Below are 13402 nucleotides of genomic sequence, written 5' to 3'. Positions count from 1 at the left end.
CACAAATTTCACCACCAGACACAGCCAAGAAAAATGAAAACACATGTCCACACAAAGATTATGCATAAATATTCACAATGACTTTATTCATACTAACTAAAAACCAGAAACAACCCACAGATTCATTAATGGGTAATGAATAAATGAACCATGGTATATTCATACAGTGAAATTCTACTCTATAGTAAAAAAAAAAATCCAACTATTGATACACTGTTCAACATGGATTCCTCTCACAGGCATTAAGCTTGACTATAGGTGGTTGTACACAAAAAAGTCCATACTGTGATTCCATTCATATGAAATTCTCCAGCGGGCAAAATTAACCTATGGTGAAAAAAAAAATCAGAACAGCAGTTGCCCTGGGAAGGGACTATTGATTGGATAAAAGCATAAACTTTGTGAGGTGATGAAAATATTTAATATTTTCATAGGAATGTGTGTTACAATTGTGGAACAAATTTGTCAGAACCATACAGATAAGGTTTGTGCATGTCAACATGCATAAAATTGTACATTGAAAAACTATGAAAATAATTAAGTGGGGGAAGGAGTGGGCATAAATGAAACAAAAATGGCAAAATGTTAATCAAGGTTGAGGCTGGATGTTCATTATATTACTATACTCAGTTTATAGATGTTCAATTTTTTTCCATAATAAAAGTTACTTTGAAAAAAGAGAGAGAGGCTGGGCACGGTGGCTCATGCCTGTAATCCCAACACTTTGGGAGGCTGAGGCGAGTGGGTTACTTGAGATTAGGAGTTCGAAGCCAGCGTGGCCAAATTGGTGAAACCCCGTCTCTACTAAATATACAAAAAATTAGCTGGGCATGGTGGCATGCACCTGTAATTCCAGTTACTCAGGAGGCTGAGGCAGGAGAATCACTTGAATCCAGCAGTCGAAAGTTGCAGTGAGCCGAAATCGCCAGCCTGGGCAGCAGGGTGAGGCTCCATCTCAAAAATAAAAAAAAAAAAGAAAGAAAAGAGAGAGAGAATGCGAGCAAGGAGGGAAGGCTGGGTTTCTCAGAAATTAAAACATGCTCTACTTTTTTTTTTTTTTTTTTTTGAGACAGAGTTTCACTCTTGTTGCCCAGGCTGGAGTACAGTGGCACGATCTGGGCTCACTTGAAACCGCCTTCTGGTTTCAAGTGTTTCTCCTGCCTCAGCCTCCCAAGTAGCTGGGATTACAGGCACCCATCACCACGCTCGGCTAATTTTTGTGTTCTTAGTAGAGACAGGTTTTCACCATGTTGGCCAGGCTGGTCTCGAACTCCTGACCTCATGATCCGCCCGCCTCAGCCTCCCAAAGTGCTGGGATTACAGGTGTGAGCCACCATGCCTGGCCCTAAGTCTTTTATCATGGAAACAGTGTGTCACAGGAATAAACAGAGAACAACAAAACAGAATAGAAAATCCAGAAATAGCCTCAACTGTGAAAATGTATCATACAGAAAGGTGGCATCTCAAATCAGTGGGGAAAGATGGACTGTTAATAAATGATGTTGGGATAACCAGGTAGACATATACCAAAAAATAAAATTAGATCCATTTACATGACTTGATAAAAGTCAAATGAATCCACTGTTTACAAGTAACAAACAAAATCATACAAACCCCCAAAGATAAATAAATAAAGAGAATTTACAAGGCATCTAGCAGGTAATAGTGAGTAGGTGGCTCTGGGGGAGTGGCCACCCAGCAGGTCAGTCCCAAGGAGATGCTAGGCTCAAGGCTGATGAGCATGGGGAGCCTGGGTCTGGGTGGTTCCAGCAGGAAAGGACACAGCTGGCCAGCAGGGAAGGTGGCCCCAGAGGCTGCTTGGAGGCCTGGAAAACCAGGGGAGACCAAAGTAAAACACGAGTTCATTTCAGAGGTGTATCTGTGAAATGAAACTAATGACGTCGCTGCTGACAGCTTGTTGAGGGATTCAATGTGGTGGGGTGAGTAAGGAGCATAACCAAGCCTCCAGCTCTGAGATAGCTTCTGTTCATATCATTCTCTCCTTGGAGTTCGGTTTTATCATCTGTAAAGTGGGTACATCGATCCATACCTGGCAGAATCATGAAAAGCAAGTGCACAGAGCAGCTGGCCCAAAGCCTGGCACGCAAGTGGGCACACGGCAAATGTAGCTGCTGGATCACAGTCATGTCTATTCTTTGTCATTATTATCCTTTGTGCCTCTCCTCTCTGGGCTGTCTGTGGAATGGGGAGGAATCTGTTGAACTAGACGGCCCATCAGGTATCTTCCTGCTAGCACTCTGCGAGGAATCCATCTTCATTTCTGAAGGTGGCCTGGAGATTCTTCTATTTCCCTCTGGGCTGTGCAGTCAGTTAAGAGAGGATTAACCTGGGAAAAACCCGCCCACCGATATTTGAATATCTCACCTCAGCGGCCAGCGGGCGGAAGCCCCAGAGCAGCCTCCAGCACTCCCTGGCCTCTTGCTGATCGAGGTTTCTCACCAACAACCCCAGGGGCCAGTGTTGGCATCCACCCCAGCCCTGCGGAGAGAGATGCTTTCTGCTCATGCACCTCAGTTTGGCCCAGTGAACACCTGCACCACCCAAGTGCCGTGGGGTGGGATCTGGCCGGTGATGGTGATCAGGTGACTGGGTCAGTGGGGGTCAGCCCCCTAGTCAGAGCAATCGCCCAAGGCCAGGACTCCAGCTCCCAGTGAACAAACCTGGCTGTTCCCGCCACAACCAGGGAGGCACCTGGGAGAGGCCCTGCGCGGGGCAGCCTAGACGGGTCTCAGCCAGGGACAGGAGCCAGACGCTCCTGCCCCTAAGAGGGCCCCTTACAGCGGGTCATTGAGAGACTGCCCAGGGACACACAGGAGGGGGCACGCTGAGTGAGAAGACGCCAAGGGGACTATGGGCCACGCTCTCTGGGCCTGGGAGGCTGGGGCTGGTGGGGACAGAGTGCTGCGTGAGGTCGAGGTTGGCAGCCCCCTGGGAGCAGCGCGGGAAGAGGGGGTGGGGGCTTCGCTCGTGGACCTGCGAGCTTGGGCAAGGTTTGACACTTTTCCGTGGAGGAGCTTCCCTCCCGGCTCCTGCAGAGATAAATACAGGAAAGGCCTGCCTCCCTTCCTCTGGTGCAGATCCCTCGCCTGGTCTTCTCTGCTGCTTTACAGCCCCTCCCGACAGCAGCTTTTGTCAGAGGGGAAGCCCGGGCCCTGCAGGTGGGGCCGGCTCCGCGCTCCAGTGGCTGCCTCGCCCGAGCCCCTGCGGCCTCCGCTGACGCCCAACCTCGAACACGCCCCGCCAGAGCCTGTGCCCTGTGCCGTGGGCTTGGCCTCAGCCTCCACGGTGGAGAGGAGCCTTGGGGACCCTGCCCCAGGGCACCGTTCCCAGGCGGAAGGGACAGGTCCTGGTCCCGCCACCCGTTGCTGGAGCGGGGGCAAGAGGGAAAATCTTTGGAGTCATACCAGTGATCTCGGGGGCACGGAGGCTCTGTTCCCTCATCAGAAAATGAAGATCACAGCTGTTTCACAGATTTTGTTTTCATGAGAATTCAATAGAATAAGGGTGTGAAGCTGGTAGACCTGGAACAGCCCCCTTCCCGCCAGGGCCCTGCCTGAGGGCACGTCAGTGACTGCACAGTGCATTTACAGGGCCTCTAGGGCCAGAAGAGAGGGGAAGCCTTCCCTGCCCCTGCCCTGCCCTCAGTCACTGGGGAACAAAATACCCTCTCAGACAGCAATTCCTCCTTTTTGAAAGGGATTATGAGACAAGATGGGAACATTAGACATTGACTTCTTTTTGTCGGGGGAACACCACATTTTCTGGGGGAGGATACACTGGGGATATTGGATTCTCTGTCTTGATTCTCTGCTGCAGGAGAGAAGGAACCTGCCAGTGTAAGCCACTAAACTGCAGGACTCTGAGCAGGGCACTGAACTTCCTGAAGCCTTTTTTGTTTGTTTGTTTGTTTATACATGTGAGGTAATGAGAATTGAAAAATAAGAATGTACCATATGGCAAAGTGCAATGTTTAGCACTTTGTGAATTACTGTGATGTAGACAGGCACAAAATGTGGCAGCTCTCCAGTGTAACAGGAGAATTCTGCTCCCCCCCCAACCCCCCCACCCCACCCCCACCCCCCGCTGGTGGAGGGGAAGGTGAAGGGCCATGAGAACTGGACACAGGAATTAAGTGTGACTTCAGGCCTTCTGGGATGTTTCTACATATAGTGGAAATCAAAATATACTGTAAAAGGGATTACTGCAAAGTAAATAAGGTCCAGGCTGGAGGAAGCAGAAGTTGCATTTTTAATAGTAGATATTGGTTTCTTTTTACTTATAAAATAATACTTGCACCTGGAAAACAAAAGTCAGTTTATAAGAACATAAAAAGAAGTTTCCCTTTTGCCCCTGACCATTTTCCATTTGCCCAAATAATCACCAAGAGTAGTTGTTTTTAGATATTCTGATCTTCATTATAACTTCAACTAATAAACTTCTTTAGGATTTATGAATTTTTGACAATATCTTTGGGCCTTCAGACATAAAAAATAAGAAAATTAGAGTGCTTACACTATCTCCTTCTTACTCTCTTCTACTCCTGATTTGTAATTATATTTTTATTTTATCCTTCTAAATGTTGCCTTTTCAACTCTGTTCATTATATTTTACATACCTTTCAATAATTTCCTTCATGACCTTAAATAGTATATTCACTTTTTTATGTATCAAATTAAGATGGCATTCACAACTATGAAAGACAAGAATAGAGGTTGAGTATCCCTAATCCAAAATGAAAATCTGAAATGCTCCAAAATCTGAAACTTTTTGAGCCCTGAGATAATATTCACATGAAAAGCTCATTGGGCTGTGTCAGATTTCAGATTCTCAGATTAGGGATGCTCAACCAGTAAGCATGGTGCAAATATCCCCAAATCTAAAACAATCAAAAATCCAAAACATTTCTCGTTCCAAGCATTTTGTTTTGTTTAATTTTCTTTGTTTTTAATTTTTGGGTGTACATAGTAGGTATATATACTTATGGGGTACACGAGATGTTTTGATACAGGAATGCAATGTGAAATAATCACATCATGGAGAATGGGGTACCCATCCCCTCAAGCATTTATCCTTTGTGTTACAAACCCAAGCGTTTTGGATAAAGGACATTCAATCTGTACTGATGTAGTTATTCTTCCTCCCTTGCTCCTCCCCATCTTTTGTTTTCTATATTATTATTTTTATATCATCATGGTTTAAAATATTTGTATTAGCTAACTAAAAGTGTCTTACTTGCTTTGTTTATAGGTCAACTCTAAAAACTAGAAAGCAAATATATAGCATTGACAATATTGTGATTTCAAAGATAATATTCACAGTAGAATTGAAATTCTATGTGGTTGATCCAGAAAGAAGAAAGATACTTCTGTGCCATTAAAACTAAAATTAAATTATATAAACATATAATTTAATAACTTATGTTATTATACAAAGGTAATTAATACTCAAAATGCACCACTCTATTACATTTTGCTGTTACCTAAATAGGCGAGGCACGCCTGTAGTTCTGAGTGGTGGAAACCCTCTATCCTGGTGGCTACTGCATGTTCCTTCCCAACTCTGCATGTAGGGATGTCATGTTGGTAGCTTCCAATTGTCCACAGAGGGAGAATTTACACCATGGAAATTGGAAAACCCTACAAACAAGGGCTTGGTTTATTGTTTTGTTCGTTAGACTTCAGAAAAGGGAGGTTAATAATGTAGATTAAACTTAAATTGTGCTATGTCTATAGCCCTTGCATTGTGAATAGTGCAAAGATTGAGATAATATTTTTCCCATATTTGAAAACTATTATCCAAGTAAACAAAGTCACTCACACCCGTTGACAAATGAGTGAAGTTCCAATATAAGCTAGTGCTGAATCTGAAAGTGGCTGCAGGATAATCAATATAGTTTGTATGGGAAGGAGACATCACTTAGCAGCAGATTACACATCAGATTTCATGACTATAAATGTATTAGATAAAGTGCTGTGGATTGGAATGCAACTCCATTTGTCAAATAATGGTTAAATTGAGACCATAGATTGGCTAGGGATACCAATGTTTGGCAAAAATCAGTGAAAGCATTCTGTTAGAATCAATCAACTATAAGGAATTTACAACATAGAGTATTGCCTGTTTTATTATTATTATTTGTAAAGTGTTCATTACACATCCTTTATAGCAGTAAAATTTATAACAATCATAAATATGTATATATATATATATATTTATATTCTTTTTTTTAGGGGTGGGTTAAGCATTTACCAGCACACCACTATATCAGAGGTTTGTCTGATCTTACCACTACCTCACATAAGAGAGTAGGAGGAAATGAAGAGGAATGCTTCTTCCTCCCTGGCTCTGGGGCCAATAGGGTCCCAGGGGTTTTCAGACTCATTGGTAACATAAGAAGGACTCATCACCAGAGAAGCAGGGTGAGAAGCAGCTGGTAGGGCAGGTTATTTCCAGAGCCTCTGCATCTATAAATAGGGGTTGTAGGACCCTCCCTGCCTGCCCTCATGAGCAGTTGCGACATTTGGGATGACATCAGGCCCAGGGAAGGCAAAACAGTGGCAATATTTGCTTCTTAAGGAGGAGTCCCCATCCCCACCACCAAATACCAAGAAGACGTGTGGCTCAAATGACCCATGCCACCCACCCGCAGCAGGGCCTACCAAAAGCTAGCCCAATTCTGAGGTATGGGGAAGGGCAGGGAGGTGAAGCCACTTCTGCTTTTTGCCCTCGTCTGCTGAAGGACCAGCCCAGGGGGCACATTTGAATTCTCAAACCTTAGCCGCAGATTCACTTCAAGTTTTGAGAAGAAATTCACGGGCAGTTTCATTATAACTGGCTGGGTCCTCTGCAGAAGTGCCTCTCTGTGCTTCCGGAGAAACTGTGAAATGTGGGGATAATTGCTGTAAATATTGATGGGCGTAACTTTGTCACCCACCAAGATCAATTGCCTTTTGCTTCCAGAAATTTCTTGTGAAAAACCCCAAAATTAAAATATTTGTTATTTACCCTTCTGTGAATTTATCCTAAGAAAATGATCCAACATTGAGAAGGCTTCTTATACATTTGCTTCAAACCTTTTTTTTTTTTTTTTTTTGAGGCGGAGTCTTGCTCTGTCGCCCAGGCTGGAGTGCAGGGCGCGATCTCGGCTTACTGCAAGCTCTGCCTCCAGGGTTCATGCCATTCTCCTGCCTCAGCCTCCCAAGTAGCTGGGACTACAGGTACCCACCTCCCCGCCTGGTTAATTTTTTGTATTTTTAGTAGAGACGGGGTTTCACGGTGTTAGCCAGGACGGTCTTGATCTCCTGACCTGGCCATCTGCCCGCCTCGGTCTCCCAAAGTGCTGGGATTACATGAGTGAGCCACCACACCCGGCCTTCAAACCATTTTTTAAATGATAGAAGAATATGGGCCCATAAATAAACACAAAAGTAACTCCTCATGTGGAAAAGTGCTCTCTGCATATTGGAAATAATCTGAAGTGTTCAATCTTAGACTTTAAAGTAACATGGTATACAGTGAGTAATATGCTGTTTCAGACATCATTTTTAATACCGTAAGGATATGCTTAATTTATAATGTTAAGTTAGAAAGCAGGTGAGCAGTCTGGCTGCAGGCACCGGCTCTGGGGTTGAAGTGCCTGGGTGGGAGTCCTGCCTCTGTGCCTTACTGGCTGCCTGACCTTCAGTTCTGTAAGCCTCGGCTTCCTCATCTATCCAATGGGTACTACAGCAGTAGCCTTCTTTCTGAGTGGTTTCAAGGGAAGCAGTGGAATGGCTCCCAGCACCCAGCACATAGTGAGTCTTCAACATTATTTATAACCAGCTTTGTCACTGCATCCATGGCAAATCAATCCACTGACAAAACGCTGGAGAGAAATGCTACAAACTGCCCAGTCTTAGTATCTGAAGCAGTTAAAATAATACAGGGAAGAGATCTTACTGTGTGGAAATCTCATGAAATGAACAGCATACTCACTGCTAAAGGAGACTTGTGGCTGTCAGCTAACCATTTACTTAAATATCAGGCTCTATTACTTGAAGGGCCAGTGCTGCAACTGCGCACTTGTGCAACTCTTAATCCAGCCACATATGTCCCAGACAATGAAGAAAAGATAGAACATAACTGTCAACAAGTAATCGCTCAAACCTATGCCACTTGAGGGGACCTTTTAGAGGTTCCCTTGACTGATCCCAACCTCAACTTGTATACTGGTGGAAGTCCCTTTGTAGAAAAAGGACTTTGAAAAGCAGGGGTTGCAGTGGTCAGTAATAAAGGAATACTTGAAAGTAATCCCCTCACTCCAGGAACTAGTGCTCAGCTGGCAGAACTAATAACCCTCACTCGGGCACTAGAATTAGGAGAAGGGAAAAGGGTAAATATATATACAGACTCTAAGTCTGCTTACCTAGTCCTCCATGCCCATGCAGCAATATGGAGAGAAAGGGAATTCCTAATTTCCGAGGGAACACCTATAGAACATCAGGAAGCCATTAGGAGATTACTATTGGCTATACAGAAACCTAAAGAGGTGGCAGTCTTACACTGTTGGGGTCACCAGAAAGGAAAGGAAAGGGAAATAGAAAGGAACCGCCAAGCGGATCTTAAAGTCAAAAGAGCCGCAAGGCAGGACCCTCCATTAGAAATGCTTATGGAAGGGCCCCTAGTACAGGGTAATCCCCTCCGGGAAACCAAGCCCCAGTATTCAGCAGGAAAAATAGAATAAGGAACCTCACAAGGACATACTTTCCTCCCCTCCAGATGGCTAGCCACTGAAGAAGGAAAAATACTTTTGCCTGGAGCTAACCAATAAAATTACTTAAAAGCCTTCACCAAACCTTCCACTTAGGCATCGATAGCACCCATCAGATGGCCAAATTATTATTTACTGAACCAGGCCTTTTCAAAACTATCAAGCAGATAGTCAGGGCCTGTGAAGTGTGCCAAAGAAGTAATCCCCTGCACTGCAGGCCATACATTTCAATCCCTGTATCTTTAACCGCCTTGTTAAGTTTGTGTCTTCCAGAATTAAAACTGTAAAACTACAAATCGTTCTTCAAATGGAACCCCAGATGCAGTCCATGTCTAAGATCTCCCGCGGACCCCTAGACTGGCCTGCTAGCCCATGCTCTGGTGTTAATGACATCGAAGTCACTCCTCCTGAGGAAATCTCAACTGCACAACCCCTACTATGCCCCAGTTCAGCAGGAAGCAGTTAGAGTGGTCATCAGCCAACCTCACCAACAGCACTTGGGTTTTCCTGTTGAGAGAGGGGACTGAGAGACAGGACTAGCTGGATTTCCTAGGCCGATTAAGAATCCCTAAACCTAGCTGGGAAGGTGACCGCATCCACCTTTAAACACGGGGCTTGCAACTTAGCTCACACCCAACCAATCAGAGAGCTCACTAAAATGCTAATTAGGCAAAAACAGGAGGTAAAGAAATAGCCAATCATCTATTGCCTGAGAGCACAGTGGGAGGGACAAGGATTGCAATATAAACCCAGGCATTCGAGCCAGCAACGGCAACCGCCTTTGGGTCCCTTCCCTTTGTATGGGAGCTCTGTTTTCACTCTATTTCACTCTATTAAATCTTGCAACTGAAAAAAAAAAAAAAACTGCCCCCAGTAGTTGTTGCTGGGTGGTGGCACTGGGGGAGATTTCAGTCCTTGATCCTGCCTTTGTGGGATAGGATTCTCCCTCCCTCCTAGTCCTCTACAGTCCCCTACACTTTTCCTATTGCTCATCCATTCTGCAAATTGCTCTGTTATAATTTCCTCCTTGCCATTTTGATTAGTGAGCTCTTGAGTCAGGGAATTTTTCTTGTTTATCTCCATAGCCATAGCCCCTAGTACAGACCTAAGAAATAGTAGGTGCTCAATCAAACATTTAACAGTCAAGTTTTCCCAAGCTTTATTGAGGAGTGTTTCAGATATCTGCTGCTACATAACAAAATATGGTGGTTTGAAATAACAACTACTTATTATTTCTCACAATTCTGTGGGACAGGAAGCAGGCAGGGCTTGGCTGGGGGGTTCTTCTGCTCCACACAGCATGGACTGAGAGCCACCTGGCTGCATTCACTAGGGGGCTGGGAGCTCGAATATCCAAGGGAAGCTTTATTCACAAGACTGGTGCCTCAGTGCTCTTCCTTTGCAGACTCTCTTTCCCTCCATGCCCTCTCATCATTCGTTAGACAGTGCAAATCTTATAAAATATGACAGCTTGGCTTCCAGAGAGAAAGACAGTGAAGCTTCCAGGCTTCTTAGGGTCTACATGCAGAACTACTGTAGCATCATTTCCACCTCTTGGCAGGAGGAAGGGCATGAGCACACTGACAGGGAAGGGATTTGGAGGGCCATCTCTAAAGAAACTAATGCTTGATAAATTTTTTAAAAAACAAGAAGAAAGCATTTTCCAAAAGTAACACTAGGATAAGCTGGTCTGGAAGCAGCATTGGTTGAAGTCTTTGCCCTTGCATTTCAGAGTGGCACGGAGTCCAAGGCATAACTGCAGTAGCAGATCCCTGGCCCAGGAGCAGCAAACCCAGAAGTCTCCCTGCAGCGAGGTTGTGCTCTACTTCACAGGGAGAGACCACAGAGCTGGGCTCCCAGTGGACCCACAGAGAATCCTGTGCAGCTCATTTCCCCAAAAGCTTCTGAGCCCCAGCATCTGTGTGCTATTCCTGAGTGGAAAGACCAAGGTGAGCAAGGCAGCCTCCATATGCTCTGACAGCTCAGCCTGCTGGAGGGTAAGGTGTAAACCTGGTGACACATGGCCATGGAGTCAGCAGTGACTTCATACCCACATAAGAACTAAGATGCTACCTGTCCAGGAAACCAAGGAGGGCCCTATCTTGGACTCTACACTTTGAGGGCCCATGAGAACCCAAACAGCACACATCTATTCATGGATGTATGGAATGGGCACCTCTGTTCCTCGAGAGGTGTGCCCAGTGCTGCCCTGCATGACCCATGGCCCTGACCCTGCACACCTGCTCACTGGACTGGCATTGTCCAGCACCTCATCTCTTGCCCTATGTATGTCCTCAAAAGAAAATGTGATTGGATCCAAATGTTATGGATTTGGCTTGCAGGATCAGCTTAGGTTTATGGGTTGTGCCATTGCCAGCAGGAACATTGCTTCCATGTCTAGGAGGAATTGAACGTGGAAGCAATAGGAAAAAAATCTAAACTTCCAGAGGCTTCCTCTCAGATCACCTAAATGTAGTAGGTTCTCCATAAGAAATCTCATCTCTGAATAGTGCCAGACATGTATTTTTTTTTCTGCTCTTTGAGTTCAAATTCATAGTTTCATAGGTACTTATATATCATTGCAAAATTCACAATGGTTCTTCATTGCAGCCTGGAAATATTTCATGCTATTAAACAGCTCACTCCCTCTTAGATGCATATGTGTTGTTCTGGATGTATAATGTCACTTGCGTGAAGTATGACATAGATTCTTCATAGCACCCACTAGATGCAAAACAAACACCAGAAATGCTAACAGTTTAATTTTTAGATTTATTTTTTATTTTTAAAATCACAATAAGAATTTAATTTTATCAAATAATGTTTTTTAATTTTTTGTATTCTTTAATTATCATATACATTTTGCTTTTTGATTTTTTAGAGAAATCTTTAAAACTGTAGTAATAATAACATGCATTGGCACAGTTTCAACATCCTAACAAGACCTATCTATGTGTACACATGTTAGACTGGTAATGTATATTGTTGCCACTAGTGAGTACCTACTCTTTTGCAGATTCACAGGAAGTTGCAAAAATAATCAAAGAGGTCCCAGATCCCCTTGACTCAGTGTCTCTCAGTGATTCTATCTTACATAACTTAGTACAATATCAAAACCAGGGAACTGGCATTGATGCAATGTCTATCACTCCAGTTGTATTACATGCAGATTTATGTAACCACCAGGGTGCAGAACTATCCTGTGGCTGTAAGCTATCCCTCATGCTGTCCCTTGTAGTCACACCTGCCTTCTGCCCCATTTGTCCCTAACCCCTGGCCACCTCTCATCTGCTCTCCAACTCATTTAGAGAATGTTATATACATGAAATAATGCAGCCTATGTCCTTTTGGGACTGGCTTTTTTCGCTAAACGTAATGTCCTTGAGATCCACCCAAGTGGCTGCAAGCATTCATAGTCCTTTCCTTTTCATTGCTAGATAGAATCCATGGCATGGCTGTGCACAGGGTGTTTAACCATTCACCTGTTTAACCATCTTGACTGTTTCCAGTTTGAGGCTATTACAAATAAAGCTGCTTTAGAAGCCTCCCCTCACTCATCCTCACACCATGTGTGTTGGTTGGAACTGATTCCACCCTCAGCAGTGGGATGGATGCATGACCAAGGCCCACCATATGAGACTGTTCCCTGCCCCAGCTGCAACGATGGGTTCAGGTCTGTGCACATGATCCATGATGGTCCATTCAGAGGTCATCTCAAGGGTTTTGCTAAAACCATTAGGTTTTTTTTTTTTTTAACCAAAAATGTCTTGAAAAATTACAGTCAGCCCCTCTGGGCCTTGCAGTCCTCAGCTATGAAATAAGGATAAAAATCCCTGTGCTAACAGGTTAGTATGTATTTGTTCATTCAACAAACTAAGAAGTGTTTACTGGACCGGGCGCGGTGGCTCACACCTGTAATCCCAGCATTTTGGGAGGCCAAGGCGGGCGGATCTCGAGGTCAGGAGATCGAGACCATCCTGGATAACACAGTGAAACTCCGTCTCTACTAAAAATACAAAAAATTAGCCGGGCGTGGTGGTGGGCGCCTGTAGTCCCAGCTACTTGGGAGGCTGAGGCAGGAGAATGGCGTGAACCCAGGAGGCAGAGCTTGCAGTGAGCGGAAATCACGCCCCTGCACTCCAGCCTGGGGAACAGAGTGAGACTCCGTCTAGAAAAAGAAAAAAAAAAAAAAGAAGAAGTGTTTACTGAAGAAGTGTGGGGGAGCATTTCAAGAAGTGGGGAGCATTTCAAGAAGTGGGAAGCAGGTACAAAAGCCCTGGGGCAAGAAAGGAGTTGAGTGGCCAGTATGCTGAAAGCATAAATGCCAACAAGGTGGCAGTGGCAGGGTAGGGGGATTGAGCATGAACAGGACCAAGATAAACTAGAGAAACAGGCAAGGACCTCTCAGGGAGGGCCTTCTAAGATCCAGCAGGAAGTTTGGACTTGAGGCTCAACATGATGAGAAGCCATTGAGGTGTTTATGCAGGGAAATGGCATGCCCCAATTTACATTTTACTGCTGCATGGAGAATGGCCTGGGGACAATAGAGCATGCATAGAAGCCAGTGCAGAGGCTCTTGAATGAGGCCAAGCAAGAATGGCAGTGGCACATCTAGGGTGGTAATAGTGGAAA

General features: G+C 44.7%; 3 annotated features.

Annotated features, from left to right (window-relative positions):
• Positions 2123 to 2192: an enhancer, noted in NCBI's record as "active region_3336". NCBI's record gives its function as "activates an Ori minimal core promoter by ATAC-STARR-seq in GM12878 lymphoblastoid cells {active_cell/tissue: GM12878}" and the evidence as "EXISTENCE:reporter gene assay evidence [ECO:0000049][PMID:35858748]".
• Positions 6346 to 6465: an enhancer, noted in NCBI's record as "active region_3335". NCBI's record gives its function as "activates an Ori minimal core promoter by ATAC-STARR-seq in GM12878 lymphoblastoid cells {active_cell/tissue: GM12878}" and the evidence as "EXISTENCE:reporter gene assay evidence [ECO:0000049][PMID:35858748]".
• Positions 6666 to 6715: a silencer, noted in NCBI's record as "silent region_2359". NCBI's record gives its function as "represses an Ori minimal core promoter by ATAC-STARR-seq in GM12878 lymphoblastoid cells {active_cell/tissue: GM12878}" and the evidence as "EXISTENCE:reporter gene assay evidence [ECO:0000049][PMID:35858748]".

Source organism: Homo sapiens, chromosome 10 (genome assembly GCF_000001405.40).
Source record: "Homo sapiens chromosome 10, GRCh38.p14 Primary Assembly".
Lineage (NCBI taxonomy): Eukaryota > Metazoa > Chordata > Mammalia > Primates > Hominidae > Homo > Homo sapiens.
Note: the sequence above shows the minus strand (reverse complement) of the source record. Positions and strands in the feature narration are given on the sequence as shown.